Source organism: Homo sapiens, chromosome 16 (genome assembly GCF_000001405.40).
Source record: "Homo sapiens chromosome 16, GRCh38.p14 Primary Assembly".
NCBI lineage: Eukaryota > Metazoa > Chordata > Mammalia > Primates > Hominidae > Homo > Homo sapiens.
This window is the reverse complement of record NC_000016.10, coordinates 46,954,209-46,978,983: the sequence shown is the minus strand read 5'-3', so window position 1 is coordinate 46,978,983 and position 24,775 is coordinate 46,954,209. Positions and strand designations below refer to the sequence as shown.

The 24,775-nt window shown below is 43.0% G+C and overlaps 1 protein-coding gene and 1 long non-coding RNA gene across 2 annotated transcripts, besides 9 other annotated features; one reads left to right on the top strand and one right to left on the bottom strand.

Annotated features, from left to right (window-relative positions):
* On the bottom strand, window positions 1–5,212 carry DNAJA2-DT (DNAJA2 divergent transcript). Its single transcript, NR_186372.1, has 2 exons — window positions 4,859–5,212; window positions 1–379 (listed from the first exon to the last, which is right to left on the bottom strand). It is a non-coding gene; the product is annotated as a DNAJA2 divergent transcript (long non-coding RNA).
* Window positions 4,899–4,988: an enhancer, noted in NCBI's record as "active region_10783". NCBI's record gives its function as "activates an Ori minimal core promoter by ATAC-STARR-seq in GM12878 lymphoblastoid cells {active_cell/tissue: GM12878}" and the evidence as "EXISTENCE:reporter gene assay evidence [ECO:0000049][PMID:35858748]".
* Window positions 5,049–5,118: an enhancer, noted in NCBI's record as "active region_10782". NCBI's record gives its function as "activates an Ori minimal core promoter by ATAC-STARR-seq in GM12878 lymphoblastoid cells {active_cell/tissue: GM12878}" and the evidence as "EXISTENCE:reporter gene assay evidence [ECO:0000049][PMID:35858748]".
* On the top strand, window positions 5,310–23,622 carry DNAJA2 (DnaJ heat shock protein family (Hsp40) member A2). The gene is made up of 9 exons (NM_005880.4): window positions 5,310–5,489; window positions 7,029–7,088; window positions 7,412–7,635; window positions 10,820–10,900; window positions 11,338–11,471; window positions 14,177–14,373; window positions 19,565–19,709; window positions 19,854–19,981; window positions 21,764–23,622. The coding sequence occupies exons 1-9, from the start codon at window positions 5,412–5,414 to the stop codon at window positions 21,953–21,955; spliced, it is 1,239 nt and encodes a 412-aa protein (NP_005871.1). The 5' UTR covers window positions 5,310–5,411; the 3' UTR covers window positions 21,956–23,622.
* Window positions 5,549–5,598: a silencer, noted in NCBI's record as "silent region_7443". NCBI's record gives its function as "represses an Ori minimal core promoter by ATAC-STARR-seq in GM12878 lymphoblastoid cells {active_cell/tissue: GM12878}" and the evidence as "EXISTENCE:reporter gene assay evidence [ECO:0000049][PMID:35858748]".
* Window positions 5,629–5,708: a silencer, noted in NCBI's record as "silent region_7442". NCBI's record gives its function as "represses an Ori minimal core promoter by ATAC-STARR-seq in GM12878 lymphoblastoid cells {active_cell/tissue: GM12878}" and the evidence as "EXISTENCE:reporter gene assay evidence [ECO:0000049][PMID:35858748]".
* Window positions 5,859–5,908: a silencer, noted in NCBI's record as "silent region_7441". NCBI's record gives its function as "represses an Ori minimal core promoter by ATAC-STARR-seq in GM12878 lymphoblastoid cells {active_cell/tissue: GM12878}" and the evidence as "EXISTENCE:reporter gene assay evidence [ECO:0000049][PMID:35858748]".
* Window positions 5,939–6,008: a silencer, noted in NCBI's record as "silent region_7440". NCBI's record gives its function as "represses an Ori minimal core promoter by ATAC-STARR-seq in GM12878 lymphoblastoid cells {active_cell/tissue: GM12878}" and the evidence as "EXISTENCE:reporter gene assay evidence [ECO:0000049][PMID:35858748]".
* Window positions 6,359–6,438: a silencer, noted in NCBI's record as "silent region_7439". NCBI's record gives its function as "represses an Ori minimal core promoter by ATAC-STARR-seq in GM12878 lymphoblastoid cells {active_cell/tissue: GM12878}" and the evidence as "EXISTENCE:reporter gene assay evidence [ECO:0000049][PMID:35858748]".
* Window positions 13,083–13,808: an enhancer, noted in NCBI's record as "H3K4me1 hESC enhancer chr16:46999088-46999813 (GRCh37/hg19 assembly coordinates)". NCBI's record gives its function as "activates a minimal SCP1, AML or CMV promoter by ChIP-STARR-seq in primed H9 embryonic stem cells {active_cell/tissue: H9 hESC(primed)}" and the evidence as "EXISTENCE:reporter gene assay evidence [ECO:0000049][PMID:30033119]".
* Window positions 18,368–19,034: an enhancer, noted in NCBI's record as "NANOG-H3K27ac-H3K4me1 hESC enhancer chr16:46993862-46994528 (GRCh37/hg19 assembly coordinates)". NCBI's record gives its function as "activates a minimal SCP1, AML or CMV promoter by ChIP-STARR-seq in primed H9 embryonic stem cells {active_cell/tissue: H9 hESC(primed)}" and the evidence as "EXISTENCE:reporter gene assay evidence [ECO:0000049][PMID:30033119]".
* Window positions 23,623–24,775: the final 1,153 nt, after the last annotated feature.

Genomic DNA, 24,775 nt, shown 5'->3' with positions numbered 1-24,775 from the left:
TCTGGGAAACACATTTACCAATTTATTATAAGGAATGTTACAAAGGATACAGATGGAGGGATGCACAGAGCAAGGTATGAGGGAAGGGGCTCAGAGCTTTTATGCCCAGGTGCCCCACCCTCCAGGAACCTCCACATGTTCAGCTATCCAGGAACTCCAACTCTGTCTTCTTGGGCCTTTTATGGAGACTTTACTGGACAGGCATAATTGACAACCATGTAAAAATGTGACTGGACAAAAAGGTATGATCTAATATTAACAGACTGAGTGGGGAAACCCAGCAAGGCCTGTCTGCTTAGATTCCTCATGGCCTCTCTGTGCAGCACTCCCTTCTTGAGGATATGGAACAGGACCCCTTCAGAAATGGAAGTCTCATGACCTACAATCAGACAAGATAGGTCAGATAATTCCTTCTCTTCTCATAATTAAAAATATATTTTTTTAAAGATAGGGTCTCACTCTGTCACCCAGGATGGAGGGCAGTGGCACAATCATAGTTCACTGTAACTTTCAACTCTCGGGCTCAAGTGATTCTCCCACCTGAGCCTCTCAAATAGCTAGGATGACAGGTGCACAACACCCAGCTAATTTTTTCTTTCTTCTTTTTTTTAGAGATAAGATCTTGCGGGCCGGGCATAGTGGCTCACACCTGTAATCTTAGCACTTTGGGAGGCCGAGGCAGGCAGATCACTTGAGGTCAGGAGTTCGAGACCAGCCTGGCCAACATGGTGAAACCCCATCTCTACTAGAAATACAAAAAATTTGCCCAGCATGGTGGCAAACACCTGTAGTTCCAGCTACTCGGGAGGCTGAGGCAGGATAATCACTTGAACCTGGGAGGCAGAGATTGCAGTGAGCCAAGATCGTGCCACTGCACTCCAGCCTGGGTGACAGAGTGAGATTCCGTCTCAAAAAAAAAAAAAAAAAACAACTCGCTATGTTGCCCAGGCTGGTCTCAAATTATCCTACCACCTCGGCCTCTTGAAGTGCTGGGATTACAGGTATGAGCCACCACTCCCCAGCCCCAGCTAATTTTAAAAAATTTTTGTAGAGACGGGTCTTGCTATGTTGTCCAGGCTAATCGAATTTTTTTTTTGAGATGGAGTCTCGCTCTGTTGCCCAAGCTGGAGTGCAGTGGTGCGATCTCCGCTCACTGCAAGCTTGGCCTCCCGGGTTCACGCCATTCTCCTGCCCCAGCCTCCCAAGTAGCTGGGACTACAGGTGCCCACCACCACGCCCGGCTAATTTTTTGTATTTCTAGTAGAGACGGGGTTTCACCGTGTTAGCCAGGATGGTCTCGATCTCCTGACCTCGTGATCCACCCACCTTGGCCTCCCAAAGTGCTGGGATTACGCGCATAAGCCACCACGCCTGGCCTTTATGTATATTATGTATATATTATATATATATTACAGTGGTAATGAGGTGTGTGTATATATATACACATATATGTGGAAAACATATATATTCATATTCATATCTCATATTATCACAATAGACATATCTTCTCCACTATTTTTCCCACACTAATTGTTAGATGGCTAAATTTATTGGGTCAATTTCTCTGCTTACTATACCACTGCAATTATATAAGCAAACTGAACCTTTGGAAAATGCTAATTAATAAGGCAGGGTTTGACACGACTGGGTTTGAAAGGCCAGCAGTGGGGCTAGAAATACCTACCACATACAACTGTGCTGCCCCATCACTGAATAATCTACTTTAAGCACTGAAAGAAATTCAGAGATTATTCAGTGATCCAAGTCCCACAATTTTTTCTTTCCAGAGTACCAACAATCATCAAATTATGTGGTCCTGACACCCTCATAACAAGAACCATCAGTACCTTCTTCTGTATCCCCCCAAAATATTTTAACCTGCATCACTTACTCTATACATTCAAACCTAGTTAAAGCAGAAAGCAAAACTATTTTCTGACTGCCTCAATGATATATCTGGAGTTGTCTAAGTAATGGATTACACAGTTCCCAATTACTTGTGAACAGTATCAATGGTCTTCAAAAATACTACAGTTCCTATACCCCCCGTCCCAGTCCATATCCACCTCCTCTCCATCCCAACCCTTCACAGTTACACAAGCATACTAAATCAAAGCAAAGGAATTGAACACCAATATAAGCCTGGCAGAAATCTGAAATCACTGCCGCCTCAAACTTTAGATCACTGCAGCGCTCAGGTGTACTGTGACTCAGCATTTTACAGTGCCTGAGACATGAAATGAGATAAAGGTCCTTTTCCCTTCACAGCATTGGCTAAACATGAAGCCAAAATAAATATGCTACCTCAAAACAGTTAGTGGCTGGAACATTACAGTGCTCACACTGACACAGGTTTATCTCAGTCTGTGATCCTTGGGAGGAGACCCTGTGTCAGTTTAAGCACACAAAGTTCTTCTGAAATAACTCGAGCTATAAAATTAGCAAATTATGCTGACTACAATTAATACCCAGAAATGGAGAAAATATTGCAAAGAAATGAAAATGAAATTCAAAAATAGTTACTGTGGTTACTGGTCTAGTCAGGTAAAAAACTAAAATAAAATAACAAGAACAAAAGAGGGAATTTACCCAGCTACTCTTCATTACAATATCAGAAGCTAAAATGGCATCAAGAGAGAATTTTTTCCTCTTGCAAAAAAAAAAACTGAGTAAAACTGAAACAAATAGGAAACTCCAGCCCTTTTAAACTGTTCATGGGCAGAAGGAAAATAAGATAAAACAATATGAAACAAATAAGATAAATTAATATGAAGGTTGCAACAAAGACAGATTTTCAGTTCATATTCTTACGTGGAGCAGGAACTAACAGAGAAATGAGACGAGAGAAAATGATAACTGACAAGCAAGGAGATTTGGGAAGATGAGGTCATGAAAAGGGACGGAGGGGCATTCCCCATAGGTAATGGAAGAAGTCAGGGAATCCCAGTAGAAAAGCCAGAAATTTAAATGAGCAAAGACAACGTAAGCATATGGGCCAAGAACAATAGTTTATACTTAATTTCTTTTAGCTTCTTAGTAATTTTTTAAATTTTAATTATTTATTATTATTTTGAGACAGGGTCTCACTCTGTCACCCAGGCTGGAGTGCAGTGGTGTGATCTTGGCTCACTGCAACCCCCACCTCCTGGGCTCAAGGGATTCTCCCACCTCAGCCTCCCGAGTAGCTGGGACTACAGGCGTGCGCAACCACCCCCAGCTAATTTTTGTGTTTTTAATAGAGACGGGGTCTTGCCATGTTGACCAGGCTGGTCTCGAACTCCTGACCTCAAGTGATCAGGACTTGAGGCAGGAGTGATCCCGCCTCAGCCTCCCAAAGTTCTGGGATTACAGGCCACTGCGCCCAGCCCTAAGTAATAGAAATGTATAACTCTTTTAAACCAATGATATAAAAAATAACAAGCCCCATCTTACACCTGAGGAAACCTCAGAAAAGTTAAGTAACTTGCTGAAGGTCACATTGTTCCTAAATGGCAGAGTCAGACTACCAACCTACACAGTCTAACCTCGCCATAACTTTACACCGTCTCTTACGAACATCTCAAAATGTGAAAAGTAGAGAATTGGATTTTACAGCCGTGCATGAGGATGACGTCAGCATTTACACGGCAATGGCGGTTGGCAGAGGCAGTGGCTCAGGCCTGCAATCCCAGCACTTTGGGAGGCCAAGGTGGGTGGATGATTTGAGATCAGGAGTTCGAGACCAGCCTGGTCAACATGGTGAAGCTCCACCTCTACTAAAAATACAAAAATTAGCCGGGCATGGTGGTGGGCGCCTGTAATCCCAGCTACTCGAGAGGCTGAGGTGGGAGAATCACTTGAAGCCGGGAGGTGGAGGTTGCAGCGAGCTGAGATGGCGCCACTGCACTCCAGCCTGAGCGACATAACGAGACGCTGTTTCAAGTAAAAAAAAAAAAAAAAAAAAAAAAACAAAAGAGTTCGAGATCCTACCACAAAAGGTACAAACGAAGGGTGGTGGGAACTCGAATGAGATAGCAGTGTTCACCAGTGCCCAGTAAAGGAAGACTTCACAGAGGGAGCAGGATTTCAGATGGGATTTGAGGAAAAGGGTTTAAGGACTATTAATGACTTATCACTGATTACTCTTAGGGTTTTCAAGCTAAATTTCAGAGTCCTTGTCATGGAATTCAGGCCCTCCACAACTAGGTCAAAGGGAACGCCAAGGAAGAAACATTATCCTGAGTGAGATGCTTATGCTGAAGTCTTTGCTATCAGTTCAGGTTCCAAGGGATCAGAAAACCTTACTTTTCTGTCTCCATAAACCGTAAATGGGTTGAAGGCAGGCACTTTTGTAACACTCCTCTCCCCGGACCAGGCCTCTGTACATCATAGCACTTGGTAGATGCACAGCATACTTTCTGAGCGAAACTAAAACGAATGTAAATCAAGTCACCTGGTGGCCAGACTTGCCTTACACCATCTAAACCTCTGGTGTTAGCTAATTTTAAAGCTATCAAGTAAGAGGCTTAAACACGTGGTCCAGATGCAACATGTGGACCTTGGTTTGGACCCGGATGCCACAAACCAATTGTAAAAGGACATGAGATCATCTGAAAAACCTAAATATGGACTGGGAATTAGATTAAGGAATTGTTAATTTCATTAGATGAGATTACATCGTTATGCCTTTAAAAGTTGTCTCTTAGATATTAAATATATACACTTAGGGTATTTATGAATGAAACGGTTTCCCTTAAAACACTAGAAATGTATGGTGGAGCCAATGAAACAGGTAAAAGGTAGCTAACTGCACTATGGGGAGTAATATACTGCTTCTGCTAAATGTTTCAGAATTCTCATAATATAAAACACAACATACACACACACGCGCCCCCCAGTTTTTTTCATCGTAAGCCCCGAGGGAGCCAGACCCAGAGGGTCCACCGACGTCCCGGATTCTAATAACGACATCTGCGCGCCAGGCGGGCCTCCTGCGGGAGCCGGGGCCCATTTTCTTTCGAAGCTAACGAAGCTGCTGCGCAGGCCTGTTAATTCCCTCAGCAGCCAGTGCGAGGTTAAACACGCGACCTCGCAACCATGGCTTTTGAGAGGAAGCTGAATTCCTGGGGTGCGCCGTGCACAGTTCTTCATTTCCTACGTTGGCCCTGCCCAGCCGCCTGGACCTGGAGGAAAACAGAGAACCTGGCCCACTCTTCAATACTTCGACCCCAGTGGCCGCGCCTCGGGCGCTCGGGGGCGGGCTCTGCACAGCGACGTCACGGCGCACCGTGCGCTGGGTCAAAGTTCAGCCCCGCCCCCGCTTCCCCCTCGCTGTCTCCCTCGGCCTGTGCCGCCGCCGACGCCGCTTGTGGGCCCGACTCCGCTCTGTCTGCTTCGCCACCTTCTCCCCGAGCACTGCCCGGCCGGCCGCCATGGCTAACGTGGCTGACACGAAGCTGTACGACATCCTGGGCGTCCCGCCCGGCGCCAGCGAGAACGAGCTGAAGAAGGTATCTGGGAGCGGGCCGGGCGGGTGTGAGGGGCGCGGGGCCTGCGCGGCCAGGGATGTCTTCTTCAGCCAGGCCGCGCTACTGGGCTGCCCGCGAGCCGGCGCCGGCCGTGACTGGCCCGGGCTGGGAGTCGGCGGCGGCGGCGGGACCGGCCTCGCCGCGAGCCGCGCACTCCGGCCTCGGCTGACCTTGGGGCCGCCGGCCCCGCCCGCCCGCAGATGCAGCAAATAAAACTCACTCCTGCGCAAACACGATGGGAGCCCTTCCTTCCTCCCTCCTTGAACGAGCGCCGGGGGCTGGTATCCCCCGGGAGGCAGCAGCTCGCCCGGTCCTTCGCGTCGAGGTCACCACCCCGGAAAAACAGGTTGGACCGAGGTGCTCAGCGCATCCCGGCCCCGAGAGAGAAGCTGTCCGCCCCGCGGCCGTCGGCCCCGGGTCTGGTGCTCCGCGGGGAGGAACGGCGGGGAGGTCGAGGCCGCCCCCACAGAGCGCCTCGGGCGGATGGGGTTGTTTCCTGGGTTCCGCGGCCGCCGGCTGCGGGAGCTCCTCCCTCTCTGCGTCCCTCGCCCATTGACCCGGAGGTAGCTGGGTCTGTGTTTGGATGCATTGTTCTTTGGGCAGGTAATGCTAATGTCCTGTACCTGCTTAGGAATAAGCCGTGGTCCCAGCCAAACGCCTGAGTGTACAGTAAACATAAATAGAAGGCCTTATTATTGCTATTTGCAATGCTGCGATATCTTTCATCTCAGGATTTCAAAGCACACGAGGCATTTAAGCCCCACAGCATCCTCACCAGGCTAAGAGCATCCAGATTTGTAAGCCGAGAAAAATGAGAATGCTCCTTAGGCAGTGAGAAGAGTACAGTGGACTTCCTGTTACCTTACCGGAAATGCTAGTCTGTATTATATAATTCACGAGCCTCCGTGAATGAAGATTTAAGTGCTTTAGGACCCAAACACCTCGTTGAGAGTGTGTGCAACTTCTCTACCACCGAAGTTGCCACCACGACCCCAGTTAACCACCACGTGCAAATAAAACACCAAAAGACGCTAACTAGGACCACCTTTACTTTTTCATGATGTTACAGTTAGAAGGAAGGCGTGAGCCATCGGGAGCAGGAATTGTGACTTTAGCTTGATTTATAGTAATGTTTTGCAGTCCGCAAAGCTTAACAGTCATTTATCTCGAATTTATTAGGGTCGTCTTGGTCTGGTTACTTGGCCATCAAAGACACTTGACAATAGGGAAAATATGGATAATGTTTGAACGTTTTGTTTTTCCCTGTGGCATTGCTTCATTGTTTTATCTGGTTTTCACGTCACTGTAACCTGTTTTCAAGTATAGCTGCTGTCTACTTGGTTATATTACATTAGTAAACAGTATCGCGAGAAAGTGCCGAAGAATCCCTACGAATAGAAAATATTTTTGAAAGGTTATAACTCTAGAACATTACTTCTCAGAAAAGTGGATATTAAGTTATTACAAAACTTTTAACTGGTGTTTAGTTATAACCTTTTTTGTTTTTATCCATTTTCAAAGGCATACAGAAAGTTAGCCAAGGAATATCATCCTGATAAGAATCCAAATGCAGGAGACAAAGTAAGTTATTTGCACCTTTTTTATTCCGGGGGTTTTAGCTTTAACTTAAATTGCCCTCCTTGAAAAAGAGGAATGTTGCAGGAAAAAAATCCAACTATGCCCACACAGCCACATTTTCATAATGTCAAGAGTATTTTAGTTTTAGAATAAGAGTACTACCATTCTGAGGAGCGGTGGGTGGTAAATAGAACCAGAATCAAGTCAAAGGTAACTTGTCCCTTTTTTTTTTTTTTTAGAATTAAATGGATTCTGGATTCCTGTAGCTTCTCCCCACTCTTCTACTTGAAAATGCAATTATTTTTATTTTTACCTTTTCTTTATAGTTTAAAGAAATAAGTTTTGCATATGAAGTACTATCAAATCCTGAGAAGCGTGAGTTATATGACAGATACGGAGAGCAAGGTCTTCGGGAAGGCAGCGGCGGAGGTGGTGGCATGGATGATATTTTCTCTCACATTTTTGGTGGGGGATTGTTCGGCTTCATGGGCAATCAGAGTAGAAGTCGAAATGGCAGAAGAAGAGGAGAGGACATGATGCATCCACTCAAGTGAATATCTTGTTTTGTTGTTTTAAAAAATTAAGTACTTTTTGTCAAGTGGGATAATGACTCAGTAGATGAAAAATCTCATAGAGTGTTCTGTCCTTCATTAGAAAAACTTCCATTTGCCTTGTCTTCTTTTGGTGACTAAATTGAATTTGATTATCTGAATGTTTCTATTTCGCTGTAGCTCTTAAAAGGACAGTCGATATTTTTTAATGAGAGGAAGGTGGTTTTATATGGTTCTGAGGCTGCTTGTTATTATAGGACTTAAAATTTCAACTGTGAAGATCATTTTCTCTCTCTCTCTTTTTTTTTTTTTGAGACCGAGTTTCGCTCTTGTCCAGGATGGAGTGCAGTGGCACAATCTCAGCTCACTGCAACCTCTGCCTCCTGGGTTCAAGCGATTCTCCTGCCTCAGCCTCCCAAGTAGCTGGGATTACAGGCATATGCCAACACACCCGGCTAATTTTGTATTTTTAGAAGAGATGGGGTTTCTCCATGTTGGTCATGCTGGTCTCGAACTCCCAACCTCAGGTGATCTGCCTGCCTCGGCCTCCCAAAGTGCTGGGATTACAGGCGTGAGCCACTGTGCCCGACCTTTTTTTTTTTTTTTTTTTTTTTTTTGAAATGGAGTCCCTGTCGCCCGGGTTGGAGTGCAGTGGCACCATCTAGGCTCACTGCATCCCCCTCCTCTCAGGTTCAAGAAGTTCTCCTGCCTCAGCCCCCCAAGTAGCTGGGATTACAGGCACCCGCACCATGCCCGGCTAATTTTTGTATTTTTTAGTAGAGACAGGGTTTCGCCATGTTGGCCAAGCTGGTCTTGAACTCAAGTGATCTTCCTGCCTCATCCTCCCAAAGTGCTGGGATTACAGGCATAAGCCACTGCGCCCAGCCTATTTTCTTTGAAGTATATGAATCTTCCAAGTTACCTTTTATTTAAAAACTAAAAATGAGTGACTGTCTGCCTACTTTGTGTACATGTTAGAGTCACTCATTACTTGATCCTCAGTGTGAACTCTTCTGAGTTGGTTTCCATGGAGCTTGCTGGCTTCCAGCCTGACCTTAACCTGCCAACACATGAATGGTGCCTGACCTTGGTCTTAGACTGTGAATCCACAAGCCCTCTCCAGTATGAAAATAGCTGTTTCACTTTGCAAAATCTGGGAGGTCTTTTTTCCCATTCTTTTTTTCATGGACCAATAAATGATTTTATTAGCAAATGTCAGTGGCCGAAGTTCAGGTACTTATTTAAAATATTTCATAATATCCTAGTTTATACACTTGAGTAAATTAGAGGAAGTCATGTTATCTGTTAACTTTGAGTCTCATTGAATCCTTAAATTTGTTTTTTAAAAGAATTTACCCTCAGAAATTAACATTTGGATACCATTCCAATGGTAATATTTGTGCAGTGCAGGTTAATTCGTTTATATTTTTCTTTAATATAGAAATGGTCTAAAAAGAAAATAGGGTCAAAAGAGTGCTGTCTGTACTTTATAGTTCTTCATGTTTAAAAAAAAGTTATGCTATATAGTGAAAGTTTTCTGCTGTTTTAACATTTCAGATTTTCCTGTTATTACAAATACTATGTTTATAATACTGCATTCTATGATTTATTTACCTTTTATATAGGGTATTCCCAGGTTTTTTCTCTGTAATAGATACTGCTGCTATGAGTATCTTTATGTAGAGCTTTGTTTCTCCTTGGCAGAGATTCCCAGGCAGGCATGAGTGTTTTGAGGCTGATAAATACAACTAAATTGCCTTGCAGAGGGATTGTGCCAGTTTAGGCCCCACTAGTGGAGAGTGCCAGCCTTGCCAAACCATTACCTGCATTTTTCCTTCCTTGGCCTTCTTTGTTGAGATGTGTATTTTTCTCTGGCTTAGGATACTGGTTGTGCATACCAATTGTAATTTAATATGTAGGGGAAGAAAGCCGATTTTCTTTAAATGATTTGTTATGCAGAGTATACAAGATGCAACAAGCGTTTTGGTCTAAAGCTCAGCTGTTGATAGGTCATTATTTGACAGTGTTGTTGGTAATGTTTTGTCCATACGTGTGGTATTCTTATCCTGCCTACAACAGTTTTAAGTTTCTGAGAATAACAATTTTAAGAAAGTTTGAATATCACAAAATAGTATAGGTGCTTTGTAAAATACTTTAAACTATTTTTTTGTTCCTCTAACTCCCAGGATTTTAAAGCAGATCATTACGGGATGACCATTACTAATCTGAAATCTGAAATGCTCCAAAATATGAAACTTTTTGAGCACCATCATGATGCCACAAGTAGAAAACTCCACACATAAGTACTTGTCTCACTCTGTCCCCCAGGCTGGAGTGCAGTGGTACGATCTCAGCTCACTGCAGCCTCAATCTCCAGGGCTTAAGCAATTCCCCTGCCTCAGCCTCCTGGGTAGCTGGGACTTCAGACATGCCACTACACCTGGCTAATTATTTTTTATTTTTTGGTAAAGATGAGGTCTCTCTAAGTTGCTCAGGCTGGTCTTGAACTCTGGGCTCAAGCAATCCTCCCTCCTCAGTCTCCCGAAGTGCTGGGATTATAGGCATGAGCCACTGCACCTGGCATGAAAAACTATTCTATCCCTCCTTTCTGTCATACTATAGGTAGGGCCACTTTTATTTTTTTTAAGACATATGCCATCTAAGTGACTCCCTTAAGCCGAAATATAACTTTGTAGCCTTTCTAAATTGTCCATGGAGGAAACAGGGACTCTGGAGCCAGATACCTATGTGATCTTGGGCAAGTTACTTGACTGTTCTGTGCCTCAGTTTTATCACATAAAATGGGAATAATAATTGTACCTCTTCTGAAGGGTTTTTATTAGGAGTTAGGTGGAGGGCTTATGCCTCAGAACAGAAGGTTGTGATATTTGAGTTTGCGAAGTCATCAGCTTTATCAGAAATTCCACCACAGCAAATTGTTGGCCTGATGCTATAGGCTCTGGCTTTGGGTATCATATATGTACTGTCTGTAGTCATAAAATATTTCTGTTAATTTGAGCCATAATATAAGCCTCAGTTTAATTGATTTAATGTGAGATTATGAGGTGTTTTTGAATTCTGTTTTAAAAGTTGATAACGAATTTGCTGTATCAGCTGTTACTTATATCTTGTATTTGACAAAATGTGGCAAAATTTGATTGAAGCCGATTCTTTTCTTTCCAGAGTATCTTTAGAAGATCTGTATAATGGCAAGACAACCAAACTACAACTTAGCAAGAATGTGCTCTGTAGTGCATGCAGTGGGTAAGTGTGTCTTCTGGTTTATTGGGTACATTTTGTCTGTTCTTTTAAGTATCACACTGAATGTCTGTACCACGTAAAAATTGTTATAAGTTAAAACTTACGGCTGGGTGCGGTGGCTCACACCTGAAATCCCAGCACTTTGGGAGGCCGAGTCGGGTGGATCACCTGAGGTAGGAGAATCGCTTGAACCCGAGAGGTGAAGGTTGCAGTGAACCAAGATTGCGCCACTGCACTCCAGCCTGGGTGACAGAGTGAGACTCCATCTCAATAAATAAGTAAAAAAATCTTAGCAGAATGTTTTCTGATACTTCTGGAAGTCAATTTAAATACAAGTTATTGGGGTTGAAGATGAAGGTAAAAGCACAATTTCTGTGTGTCATAGCTTATTGGAGTGGTTTGTGGACAAAAACCTAATGCATAACTTGTGCTTGCTTTAGCCAAGGCGGAAAGTCTGGAGCTGTCCAAAAGTGTAGTGCTTGTCGAGGTCGAGGTGTGCGCATCATGATCAGACAGCTGGCTCCAGGGATGGTACAACAGATGCAGTCTGTGTGCTCTGATTGTAATGGAGAAGGTATGTGTGCCAGTACTTCTCTGCTTTTATGTTGGAATGGATTGGGAATGCAGATATTGGAGAGGTTTACAATTTTTTATTTCAAAGGGTATTTGTATACATCTTATTAAAGAAAAAGGAGGCCGGGTGCGTTAGCTCATTCCTATAATTCCAGCACTTTGGGAGACAGAGGTGGATTGCTCGAGCCCAGGAGTTTGAGGCCAGCTTGGGCAATATAGGGAGACCTCATTACTATAGGAAAAAAAAGTGTGGAAAAATATGTAATGAGGGGCTCAGGGCATGTCTGTGGTCCCAGCTGCGTGGGAGGCTGAGGCGGGAGGATTGCTTGAGCCCAGGAGTTCGAGGGAGCAGTGATCTGTGATCATACCAGTGCACTTCAGCCAGGGTGACAGAACAAGACCCTGTTGCAAAAAATAAAAGATAAAAGTGTGAAAGTAATTACTCCATTATGCCTAAGCCCAGTGAACATAGAGAAACAGTAGATTTGTATTGTGTTAGTGAAAGGTGACTCTTTTTAATTCAGAAAAGAGGAGCAAGGTGATTATTTGTCCCTTTGCTATTTCCTTCTTTATCAAATATAACCTTTTATTTACTCTCTCTGTAGGAATGACCACCATAGGAGGACTATCTCCTTTATCACATAGAACCTTTTAAACTACAAAGGGACAAATAATCAAATAATAAATAACTAAACAAGTAGTTGTTTAGTTATTCTGATAAGTGGAAGATTTCACTGTAACCTTTAGTTAGCTTTTCAGAATTGATCTTGAGATTGAAGCTGTCCTTACAGAAGTAAATAATTTAGTCTTTGTGGGCCAAATAGTTTTTGTCACAACTACTCATCTCTGACCTTTTAGTGCTTTTATGGCCACAGACACATGGATATGGCTGTGTTCTGATTAAAATTTTAATTATAAAAACACATAGCTCCTCCCACCCCTGCCATTCTAGAGCAGTGCTATCCAATAGAATTTTTTTCTGTGATGATGGAAATGTTCTGTATCTGCAGTGTCCAGTACAGTAGCCATTAATCACCTGTGACTACTGCATATTTCACATGTGGCTAGTGTGACTGGAGAACTATTTTAAATTTGAATTAATTTAAACATAAACAAGTAGCTACAGGTTGATAGTGGCTACCATATTTGACAGTATAGTTCAATAGCATCCTTTTCCAAATTGCTATTGGAAGTGATGAGATAATTATGAGAAGTTACATATGATATTTCCTTCCTGGAGAGTCTTGGCATTTTACTTTATTTTTTTAAATTATTATTATTTTTGGAGATAGGGTCTTGCTGTCGCCTGGGCTGGAGTGCAGTGGCACACTCTCGGCTCACCGCAGCCTCCACCGCCCACGCTGAAGCAATCCTTCCACCTCAGCCCCTCGCCCCACAATTAGCTGAGACCATAGGTGCTTGCCACCACGCCCAGCTAATTTTTGTATTTCTTGTAGAGATGGGGTTTTGCCACGTTGCCCAGGCTGGTCTCGAACTCCTGGGTTCAAGTAATTCTCCTGCCCCAGCCTCCCAAAGGGCTGGGATTACAGGTGTTAGCCACCACTCTTGGCCTGCTTTTATTTTATTATAATTGCTAACTCCCACTATCAAGAAACCAAAGTTAACTGAAATCTTTCTCATGTACCATTACATTTTTCTTTTTTCTTTTTTTTTTTTTTTTGTGAGACGGAGTCTTGCTCTGTTGCCCAGGCTAGAGTGCAGTTGCGTGATCTCAGCTCACCGAAGCCTCTGCCTCCCTGGTTCAAGTGATTCTGCTGCCTCGGCCTCCTGAGTAGCTGGGATTACAGGCGCCTGCCACCACGCCCGGCTGATTTTTGTATTTTCAGTGGAGACGGGGTTTTGCCGTGTTGGCCAGGCTGGTCTCAAACTCCTGACCTCAGGTGATCCTCCCGCCTTCGCCTCCCAAAGGGCTGGGATTACAGGTGTGAGCCACCATGCCCGGCCACTATTACCATTTTGAAGAACGTGTTTTGCAGAACATACTTTGCACAAGTACTGTTACAGAAACAGTCCCTAAATAATCAGTTATACACTTCTTTCTAAGCCTTCAAATGTGCTGGTAATTAGCCATTAGAAAGTGACGCAGTTTTTTCACACTATAATATGTATAATCACGGTTTTGCTTTTTAATACCATAATTATAAGAGAAAAGCTGTGTTGCCCTAAACATGGTATGGATACATTACATTCTGAAATAGTGGGAAGCTGAGTCCTTCAGGCAGTCTGCAGTAGTAAGATGTAAGTTTTTGTTATTCAGAATAGTGCTTTTTTTTGTTTTGTTTTGAGACATGGCCTCACACTGTCACCCAGACTGGGGTGCAGTGGCATGATTATAACTAACTGCAGCCTCGAACTCCAGCAGTCCTCCCTCCTCAGCCTCCCCAGTAGCCAGGATTACAGGTGTGCACTACCACGCCGGCTAACTTTTTTTATTTGTAGTAGAGGCAAGGTCTCACTGTGTTGCTAGGCTGGTCTCAGATCCTGAGCTCAAGTGATCCTACCACCCTGACCTCGCAAAATGCTGGGATTGCAGGCTTGAGCCACTGTGCTTGGCCTCAGAATGCTGCTTTGAATAAAAATTTAGGTAGTGATTAAAAGAAGTCCAGAAAGCATATTTAAAGAATAAGGGTATTAAGAGTACAGTATAGTACTCTTGCTGAAAGTTTCAATGACTTCTCTTTCCAGGAGAGGTAATTAATGAAAAAGACCGCTGTAAAAAATGTGAAGGGAAGAAGGTGATTAAAGAAGTCAAGATTCTTGAAGTCCACGTAGACAAAGGCATGAAACATGGACAGAGAATTACATTCACTGGGGAAGCAGACCAGGCCCCAGGAGTGGAACCCGGAGACATTGTTCTTTTGCTACAGGAGAAAGAACATGAGGTGATTTTCCTTTTTTTAGTTTTTTGTATTTTGTTTTATTCAGAAGTACTTCTTGCTTGTGAGAAATAGGTTAGATCTGTTTGGAGTCCCTGGAGCAACACTGAACACTGGTGAAGTTAAGGGCATCATGGTGAGTTCCTAAGACGGGCTTGTGTAAGAAAGACTAACAAGGCAGGTGCAGTTAGAAGCACTGTAAGAGTCAGTTTTAGTCCTGGCTTGGTTTCTTCCCCCTGCCCCTCAGTTGGAGTTTCACTCTTGTTGCCCAGGCTGGAGTGCAATGGTGCGATCTCGGCTCACTACAACCTCTGCCTCCCGGGTTCAAGTGATTCTCCTGCCTCAGCCTCCCGAGTAGTTGGGACTACAGGCATGCTTCTTCACTCCTGGCTAATTTTTATTTTTAGTAGAGACAGGCTTTCTCCATGTTGGTCAGGCTGGTCTCAAGCTCCCAACCTCAGGTGATCTGCCTGCCTCAGCCTCCCAAAGTGCTGGGATTAAAAGCGGGAGCCACCGCGCCTGGCCTTGGTCTTTTTTGTGTGTGTGTGACGGAGTCTTGCTTTGTTACCCAGGCTGGAATGCAGTGGCACGATCTTGGCTCACTGCAGCCTCCACCTCCCAGGTTCAAGCGATTCTCCTCTGGCCTGGTCATTGACTAACACTTTAACCATAGGTAATCTTACTGTCTCAGTTTCTTTGTTTATGAAAATAAGGGCACTGGGTGTTGGACCAGTTGATCTAAGGCAGCCTGTATTTTCACTGTGAAACTCTGCTGCTCTGTCGATTTGGTTTTTACTTATTGGGTACCCAAGTGAGCTATCCTTGAAAGGGTTCTGGGATTTTTTTTAAAAAAAATATTTTTTTAGAAGCTTCTGAAGAATGTGGTCACTAGTGTATGTTTTGGGGGGTTTTTGTTTTTGAGATGGTCTTGCTCTGTCGCCCTGGCTGGAGTACAGTGGTGTGATCTGGGATCACTGCAACCTTCGCCCCTGGGCCCAAGCAATCCTCCCATCTCAGCCTCCCAAGTAGCTGGGACAACTGGTGCACCATCATGCCCATCTATTTTTTTGTTTGTTTGTTTTTTGGGGTTTTTTTTTTTTTTGTATTTTTAGTAGAGACAGGGTCTTGCCATATTGCCCAGGCTGGTTTTGAACTTCTGAGCTCAAGCGATCCTCCTGTCTCAACTTCCCAAAGTGCTGGGATTACAGGTGTGAGCCACAGTGCCCAGCCTAGTGTATGTTATTTTGATTTTAACATTGCACTTGTATATTTTTAATGTCCATATTGTATACTGTAGACCCTACTCAAAGAATAAATCTGGAACTATTCATGAAAAACCCCTCCAGTAATCACCTAAATTCTTGAATGTTAGAAGCACTTGATAGGACTCTAGCTTTGTACTTGATCACATTTACTCATGTGTTCCTCTGAAAATCATTACATCACAGGTTAACCACCTTTTTAGTTTGCCCTAAAATTTTCTCCTATGCATAAGCCCAATGAACACGGAGAAATGGTAAATTTGTATTATGTTCAGTGAAAGGTTATTCTTTTTAATTCTAAAAAGGTGGGCAAGCTGATTATCATTTATAATTTAAAGGTTATATTTGATAAAGAAGGAGATCGTCCTTCTGTGGTGATCATTTCTTCAAATAGAGTAAATTTTAAAAATCACTTTAAGAATCCAATAGAGAACAACAAAGCCATATTGAGATGCAGGTTTTAGGAATTTGGTAGTAATCCCTCACAAGGTCAGACTTGATCTCCTGGACAATCAGGGCATGCTAGTCAGCTTTCATGACTCAGCAAAGCTACAAATTATGTATTTTGGCTTTTTGTGGAAATTGCCAACCCTACAGATAGCAAACGTCTCCTCGGTTGTCAAAAAGTAAGAGTAGTTTTTAGAATTCTGCCTTTGGGTCTTGTAGAATGAAATATTTACAAGATTTGCTATTTGTTAACATTTTAGCTACTTCCTTGTTCCTTCAGTCTTGCTGCTGTGCACACCACCATACCAGGAATATGAGGGAGAAAGCTAGCAAGACAGCTAAATAATTGGAAATTCTGCTTGGAGGTTAGACTGTGTTGTAAAATGGTACAGACAGTGCCTGGGCATTTTCATTGATAGAATCCTTGGAGTCGTTTGGGGTTCGTTGTCAAATGATGTCTGGCAGTGCAGCAGCATGATAGGAAGTGAAGAAGGAATGCTTATTTGCAGAGGAAGGATGACTTTTTTTTGGTTTGAGGCATGTCAAACTGATGGTAAAACCTTTTTTATCCCTAAGTTTAGTTTTTAATGTTGCTGCATAATTAAATTGGGTTTTTAAAAGTAGATCATTGGATTTGGAGGCAAAGGACTTAAGGTCTGGGCCCCGTTTACTAGCTTTGGCTTCCCTGGACTTTTTGGATATTAAAGAGTCAAATGAGATTATGAATAAGCTTCTTTCTTGGGGCCTGTGGGGAGGTGTTGGGAAGTAACTCATCTCTGAAAATTGTTGGCAGCAGTGGAATTGGCATGGAATTTTCAACAGAAGGCAGATGTAGCTAGTTGTCTAAAGTAGAAAATAGAAGATGGTAAAGGTTAGAATGGAAGTTTGTCTCGTTCCTTCTTGGGAGTGCTGTATCATCTATAGTCATCATCCTGCCATGTCACTTGTCAGTGTGCCTGTTTGTGTGTCTCGGTGGTCTGGTTACCATAGTGCACTTGTACAGCATCAAACCACAGAACCTGGTGATGTTAGTCACGCCTCTATAACCTGTACTTTTGTTATTCAGAAATATGACTTCTAAGTGTTTTCTGGTCTAGTGCTTGGTGGTCCCTCCTCATTAATCTTGTTTTTCAGAAACTCTCTGGCATCCTTGCTTGTTTATTCTGTTTAAACTTTTAACATCAAATTGTTTAGCTTCCCCGCTCTGCTGCAACAACCATCCTGATAATCATAATCATTTTTTATTGAAATCACTTTCAGTTGAACTCTCCTGTACAAGAACGTGATGTGTATCTCTTCCTGTTCCCTTTTCTTTTTTTTTTTTTTGAGACAGTCTTGCCCTGTCACCCAGACTGGAGTGTAGTGGCGCAATTGTATTTTTAGTAGAGATGGGGTTTCATCATGTTGCCCAGGCTGGTCTCAAACTCCTGACCTCAAGTGATCTGCCTACCTCGGCCTCCCAAAGTGCTAGGATTATAGGTGTGAGCCACCGTGCCCTGCCCCACTTTTTATTTTTGTTTTTATTTTTGAAATGGGGTCTCACTCTGTCACCCAGGCTGGAGTGCAGTGGCGCGATCTCTGTTCACTGCAACCTCCACCTCCCGGGTTCAAGTGATTCTCCTGCCTCAGCCTCCCAAGTAGCTGGGACTACAGGCTCATGCCACCACACCCAGCTAGTTTTTGTATTTTTAGTAGAGACAGAATTTCGCCATGATGACCAGGACCTCAGGTGATCCACCTGCCTCAGCCTCCCAAAGTGCTGGGATTATAGGCATGAGCCACTGCATGCATCCTAAAATAGTATGACTTTAACAAAGGATATTTGGTAAGATGGTTCTTAGAACACTGGCATTTTACAGTATACTTAGCATTTATTTTAAATTTATTATTATTATGTTTAAGAGACAGGATGTCCTTCTGTCTCCCAGGCTGGAGTGCAGTGGCTGGATCATTAATGAGGAGGGACTGCCCCTGCAGGCTCCAAATCCTGGGCTCAAGGGATCGTCCTGCCTCAACTAGCCTAGTTTATGTTTTAATTTTTTGTCTCCCTATGTTGCTGTTTTGAACTGGCCTCCCAAAGCTCTGACCCTATATTTAGCTTTTTTAAATTTTTTTATTTTTTTCTTATTGAGATGGAGTCTCGCTGTGTCGCCCAGGCTGGAGTGCAGTGGTGTGATCTTGGTTCACTGCAGCCTCCGCCTCCCAGGTTCAAGTGATTCTCCTGCCGCAGCCTCCTAAGTAGCTGGGACTACAGGCGCGTGCCACCACACCTGGCTAATTTTTGTATTTTTAGTAGAGATGGGGTTTCACCATATTGGCCAGGCTGGTCTTGAACTCCTGACCTTGTGATCCGCCTGCCTTGGCCTCCCAAAGTGCTGGGATTACAGGTGTGAGCCACTGCACCTGGCCTACTTAGCATTTTTAATGCGTTGAAAAATCCTGCATTAAAAAAACTATTGGTCCCATTGTGAGGAACACTTGAATATATGTGCATACATAACATACCTTCTTGGATCTCAAACTTTAGCACACACACAAGAATTGCCTGGAGGGCTTGTTAGGACTACAGATGCTGGATCTTGCCTGCCTTGTTTCTGGCAGGAATGGAAGTGGGGCCCAAGAATATGTGTTCCTAACAAGTTTCCTGAAGCTGCTGGTCCAGAACCACACTTAGAGAATCATTGGTTAAGGTAATGGTTTAACTTTGTTTAATGAGTAAATTTAGGAGAGTAACATAGGAAAAGAACCTGTCTACCAGATTTTCTATAAGTGAACCGGCCAGGATTGTTCTTTACAAGAAGAGTGACCATTGTAAAATCTAAGCAAAAATTGCAGGTTGGGCGTGTGAAGTTGGATGTATTTTTCCTACACATTGAAGGCTCAGAAACATTCTTTGTGCTTATTCTCAATACCTTTTGCATTACCTAGTCCATAGGCTTATAGTGTAATATTGAATGAGCCAGTTTTGCATTTTAGTGAGATGTGAGACTTGTTGGTATGTGTGTGAAGCACGGAATTGAGCCACTTGACTTTGCTGGCTGGGTGTTAACTGGTTGATGTTGGGTTTTATGTTGATCTTGGACCCTCCCCCCTTCCCTGTTACGATCATGTCTGGGGAGCACTCCAGGGTGAGCCTGTTCTGTAGGAGCCCTCTGGGCATTCTGTACCTTTTTCACCAGAGGCAGAGTCTGAAAGTGGGCAATAGTTGCAGAATATACCTGGCACTGTTTTGAGGGCCTCAGTTCTGTTGCTCTTATATATGCCATTGTTTACCAGTTCCAGTACACCTTCCTCATGGAAGTTTCTCACATACTACTTGGGAATAGCTAGCTTTCCTAATGCGGTTTAGGGCACTAGGGACAGTGGCACTTTGGATTTGCAGTGAGTGGTAGAAATAAGGTTTTGAAATTAAGTCAAGGAACATAATGCTGCAGGGTGTACCTCCATAATTTTTAAGAAAATGTATTTCTTTTGTGCTTTATTTATAGGTATTTCAGAGAGATGGGAATGATTTGCACATGACATATAAAATAGGACTTGTTGAAGCTCTATGTGGATTTCAGTTCACATTTAAGCACCTTGATGGACGTCAGATTGTGGTGAAATACCCCCCTGGCAAAGTAATTGAACCAGGTAAATCTTGATTTTGTCCGATTCTGGTTTTCAAGTATTTTTGAAAAAAATTACAATTTGTAATTTTTTTATACTGCATAACTCTAAAAAAAATTGAACACCTCTTTTGGGTAAAATTATTAATCATTTCCTCTTAAATAATAGGGTGTGTTCGTGTAGTTCGAGGTGAAGGGATGCCGCAGTATCGTAATCCCTTTGAAAAAGGTGATCTTTACATAAAGTTTGATGTGCAGTTTCCTGAAAACAACTGGATCAACCCAGACAAGCTTTCTGTAAGTGTTCTTTAAATTAAACAACAGTTGACTTCCAAGTTTGGAGTTCGGTTTTTGGTTTTTTAGACAGGGTCTCTGTCACCCAGGCTGGGGTGTAGTGGTGTGATCGTGGCTCACTGCAGCCTCGACCTCCTGGGCTGAAGCGATCCTCTCACCTCAGCCCCCAAGGAGCTGGGACTACAGGTGTGTGTTGCCATGCCTGGCTAATTTAAAAAAAATTTTTTGAGACACAGTCTCACTGTGTCACCCAAGCTGGAGTGCAGTGGTGTAGTCTCGGCTCACTGTACCCCCCGCCTCCCAGGTTCAAGTGATTCTCATGCCTTAGCCACCCAAGTAGCTGGGATTACAGGCATGAGCCACGATGCCTGGTAAGTTTGTTGTTGTTGTTGTTTGTTTGTTTATGGGGTTTTTTTGTTTGTTTGTTTTTGTTTTTTTTTTTGAGATGGAGTCTTGCTCTGTCACCCAGGCTTGAGTGCAGTGGCACGATCTCAGCTCACTGCAAGCTCCACCTCCTGGGTTCATGCCATTCTCCTGCCTCAGCCTCCCAAGTAGCTGGGACTGCAGGCACCCGCCACCACGCCCCGCTAATTTTGTTTTTGTATTTTTAGTTAGAGACAGGGTTTCACCATGTTAGCCATGTTAGATCGATGGTCTCGATCTCCTGACCTCATGATCCACCTGCCTCGGCCTCCCAAAGTGCTGGGATTACAGGCGTGAGCCACTGCACCCAGCCAAGTTTCTTTCTTTTTAAGAGAGTCTCGCTCTGTTGCCCAGGCTGGCGTGCAGTGGCATGATCATGGCTTGCTACGGGTGTGTACCACCACACCTGGCTAATGCTTTTTAAAACTTTTTATAGAGATGTTGCTATGTTGTCCAGACTGGTCTCAAGCAATCCTCCTGCCTCCCGAAGTTCTGGGATTGCAGTCGTGAGCCACTGCACCCAGCCGACTTCAAGTTTCTTAATAGTCATGTTACTTTCAATTTTAAAGTATATTTGTGTGATTGGTAGGCTTTCCTAGTTGTTAGGAAATGGGGTATTGCTGGTGTAAATGTTGATGGGGCCAAGCAGGGAATTGTAGAGGAGTAAAGTAGACCCGGTGTGGGTGGTGATGAGGAGTAGCACTCCCTGGAGAGAACAGGTTCCTCATTTGCAGAGGGCAGGACCACTACCCCTTTATCGTAAGCTGGTGTCCATGCCGGATGCAGGAAGGTGTGTCTCCTGTAGAAACTTTCTAATGTTTAAGTATTGGCAGATAATGACCTTTTTTTTGGTTCTTAAAGCAATAGATGGGTTGCACAAAAGATGTCTGCAGAATTTGGCCTGTGAGTGATGAGTTTGTGATCTTTTACTTAGAGTTCAAAGTCCAGTCCACATTCCTTTTTTTAACTTTTTTTTTTTTGAGATGGAGTCTTGCTCTGTCACCCAGGCTGGAGTGCAGTGGCACAATCTCAGCTTACTGCAACTTCCACCTCCCAGGTTCAAGCGATTCTCCTGCCTCAGCCTTCTGACTAGCTAGGATTACAGGTACCCACCACCATGCCTGGCTAATTTTTTGTATTTTTAGTAGAGACAAGGCTTCACCATGTTGTCCAGGCTGGTCTCATCTCCTGACCTCATTATCCGCCCGCCTCAGCCTTCCAAAGTGCTGGGTGGGATTATAAGCATGAACCACCACACCCAGCCCCTTTTTAAACTCTTAAACAGACACTGGATTCTATGTATCAAAAGGAAAGTTGATGAAAATATTACAACCAACCTGGTTTTTGTTTGTTTTAATAAAGGAACTAGAAGATCTTCTGCCATCTAGACCGGAAGTTCCTAACATAATTGGAGAAACAGAGGAGGTAGAGCTTCAGGAATTTGATAGCACTCGAGGCTCAGGAGGTGGTCAGAGGCGTGAAGCCTATAATGATAGCTCTGATGAAGAAAGCAGCAGCCATCATGGACCTGGAGTGCAGTGTGCCCATCAGTAAACTCTGCAAACAAATTGCACAGGTGGATTTTCTTTCCACATTTGCCTGATTTGTTCTCAGCAATCCAGCTGGAGTGTCTTATCAATCCAGATGAACTGAGGGACATCTGTTGGTCTATGTATAACTTTTAAAATTGGTATAGTATCTACAGAGTGTATAATTTAAACTAACCACAAAGCTTTACATCTTCATTTTGACTGTTCCATAGCAGAATAAAGCACTTGAAAGGAAACAAGACTCCCTTTCACACATGGATTATTATAAGTTTCAATCCTGGTATCTGTGCTTGATTTTTATCAGTTTTGTGTAGATTTTTATGTTTCATATTTTAAATTTAAATCCCACATTGTAAAGTTTGTACAATTTGTCCTGAAGCTTTGTGTTTGGCTGCACCTGCATAAGCTGCTACAAATAGAATAAAGAATTTCATAGCCTGTATCTATCATTTAGATGCATGGAAAAAAATGGGCTTTGCACACAATGGGTTTGGAGCTGACTGGGAACAATGGAAAAAATTACATTAGCTGTGGTTGTAAAGTTTTTTTGTTTTTGGTTTTGTTTTTTTTTTCTTTTTTCTTTTTTTTTTTTTTTACCATCTTGTGAAAGGTTTCTGAAACTCGATAATAAAAAGCGGTTGGTGTAAATTATTCTTTTGTGTCACATTTTTAGAAGGAAAAACATAAAAGAATGTATCCTTAGTACTGGTTCTTAAACAGCCCATAAAAACCCATTGGCCTGAAGCTTATATCTCAGGCCTATGCCCATCTTATAGTCTTGGAAGACAAAAGGCTGGTAGAGACAGTCTTCAGTGGCTTCAGTGATGCTCTGTAGAGGCCAGGGTGTCTTGAGTGCTGTAACTCCCAAGCACTGGGCTAGCCTGACTTCTGTATCTCCCTACCACCACCCCCTTAAAAAAATAAGGTAACAGCAAATCTATAGTAAAACCATGTCTGCATAGAACGTGTTCAAATCCTCTGTTTTCATTAAATGTAAAAGATGCTGTCTCCATTAAGTTGAATATTTGGAATTGGAGAAGCCATTGATTATTATTTTGAGTTTCTGTAATGTTTTATAGAAAAGTAAGATGCTTATTCAGAATTTAAGAATGAAGGCAACTGAAATATGCATTGTTGTAGTTATTTATATTTCAAACTAAAAATAAGCAAAAAAAAAAGGCTGGTTTGAGAAAAATCAGGTAAAATTGATGAAACGGATGTTGTGTTTCTCTTTCCATCATCTGGTTTTTACCATTTCACTCAGTAGGTATTTTTAGAACACACTTATTTGAGGAAAGAGACATCAGATGCACAATTTTACATTTATAAAGGAACAAATGGGGAAAACTGAAAACTAAAAATTTTAAATGTATTAAATGCCATCCCTGAGCCTAAATCTAGTATTTGTAGTTTATTTCTAGGTCTGCTAGAACCTGAAAACCTGAATGAAAAAAGGTGTGCTGACACTAATCAAGTCCTGTGAGGTTTAAATTATTGACCTATCCACTCTACCTCCATTGTACAAAAAATATTTTACAACAAGCCTGGGTAAGATTCAACAGCATAGTAGTTTTGTATCCAAGGTTACTTCCCCACAACCACTTTAAACATAAGAAATGTGGTGGCAATATAAAGTTTGTAGCCTTTCCAATAAAGGTTTATAAAACAGTTGTTCAGTGTAGTCTGTCTTTCATTTCTACCCAGGTGTTTTGACTGTAGGCAAGAAAACTACTGGAAGAGAGTTTCTGTTAAGGTGTGTTATTTCACTTGGTCTCCTTGCTCTAGTTTGTAGAGCACCTGTCGAGAGAACCAACCATACAGTGTCACCAGCACAGATAATTTTTTGTAACAGCTTTATTCCAGATATGATTTACATACCATAAAATTTACCACTTTAAAAAATTTGCCACAATTCAGTTGATTTCAGTATATTCAGCCATCTCCACTAATTTCAGAACATTTTCATCAAAGAAGAAACCCTCTATCCATTAAGTCACTTTCTGTTCCATTCTCTCCTCAACTCCTGGTGTAATCACTAATGGCTAATTCTGCTTCTAAATATTTGCCTATTTTGGACATGTTGTATAAATGAGATCAAAATATGTGGCCTTTAGTGATGCATTCATTTAGCTTAATGTTTTCAGGGTTTATCCTTGTCGGCAGCATGGATCAGCACAGTAACAGCAGGGACCTATTCTGAGAAGTGCATGGTTAGGCGGTTTCATCATGCAAACAGAGTGTACTTCCACAAACCTAGGTGGTGTAGCCGACTATACACCTATATGGTGTAGTGTATTGTTCCTAGACTACAAACCTGTACAGCTTGTTAGCATAGGCAGTTGTAACACAATGGTAAGTAAACAGTTTTCTGTTTACCATTTGGTACAGTATAAGTACCTTATATGAGAAAAAGGCCTGGCATGGTGGCTCACGCCTATAATCCCAACACTTTGGGAAGCCGAGGTGGGTGGATCACCTGAGGTCAGGAGTTCAAGACCAGCCTGGCCAACATGGCGAAGCCCTATCTCTACTAAAAACACGAAAATTTGCCGGGTGTGGTGGCATGTGCCTGTAATCCCAGCTACTCGGAGGCTGAGGCCAGAGAATCACTTGAACCCTGGAGGCAGAGGTTGCAGTGAGCCGAGATCACGCCACTGCACTCCAGCCTGGGCAACAGAGTGAGACTCCGTCTCAAAAGAAAAAAAAAAAGAAAAAATGGTACACTTGGATAGGGCTCTTACCATGAATAGAGTTGGCAGGACTGGAAGTCCTGATTCGGGCGAGTCAGTGAGTGGATGTGAAGGCCTAGGCCATTACTGTAGAG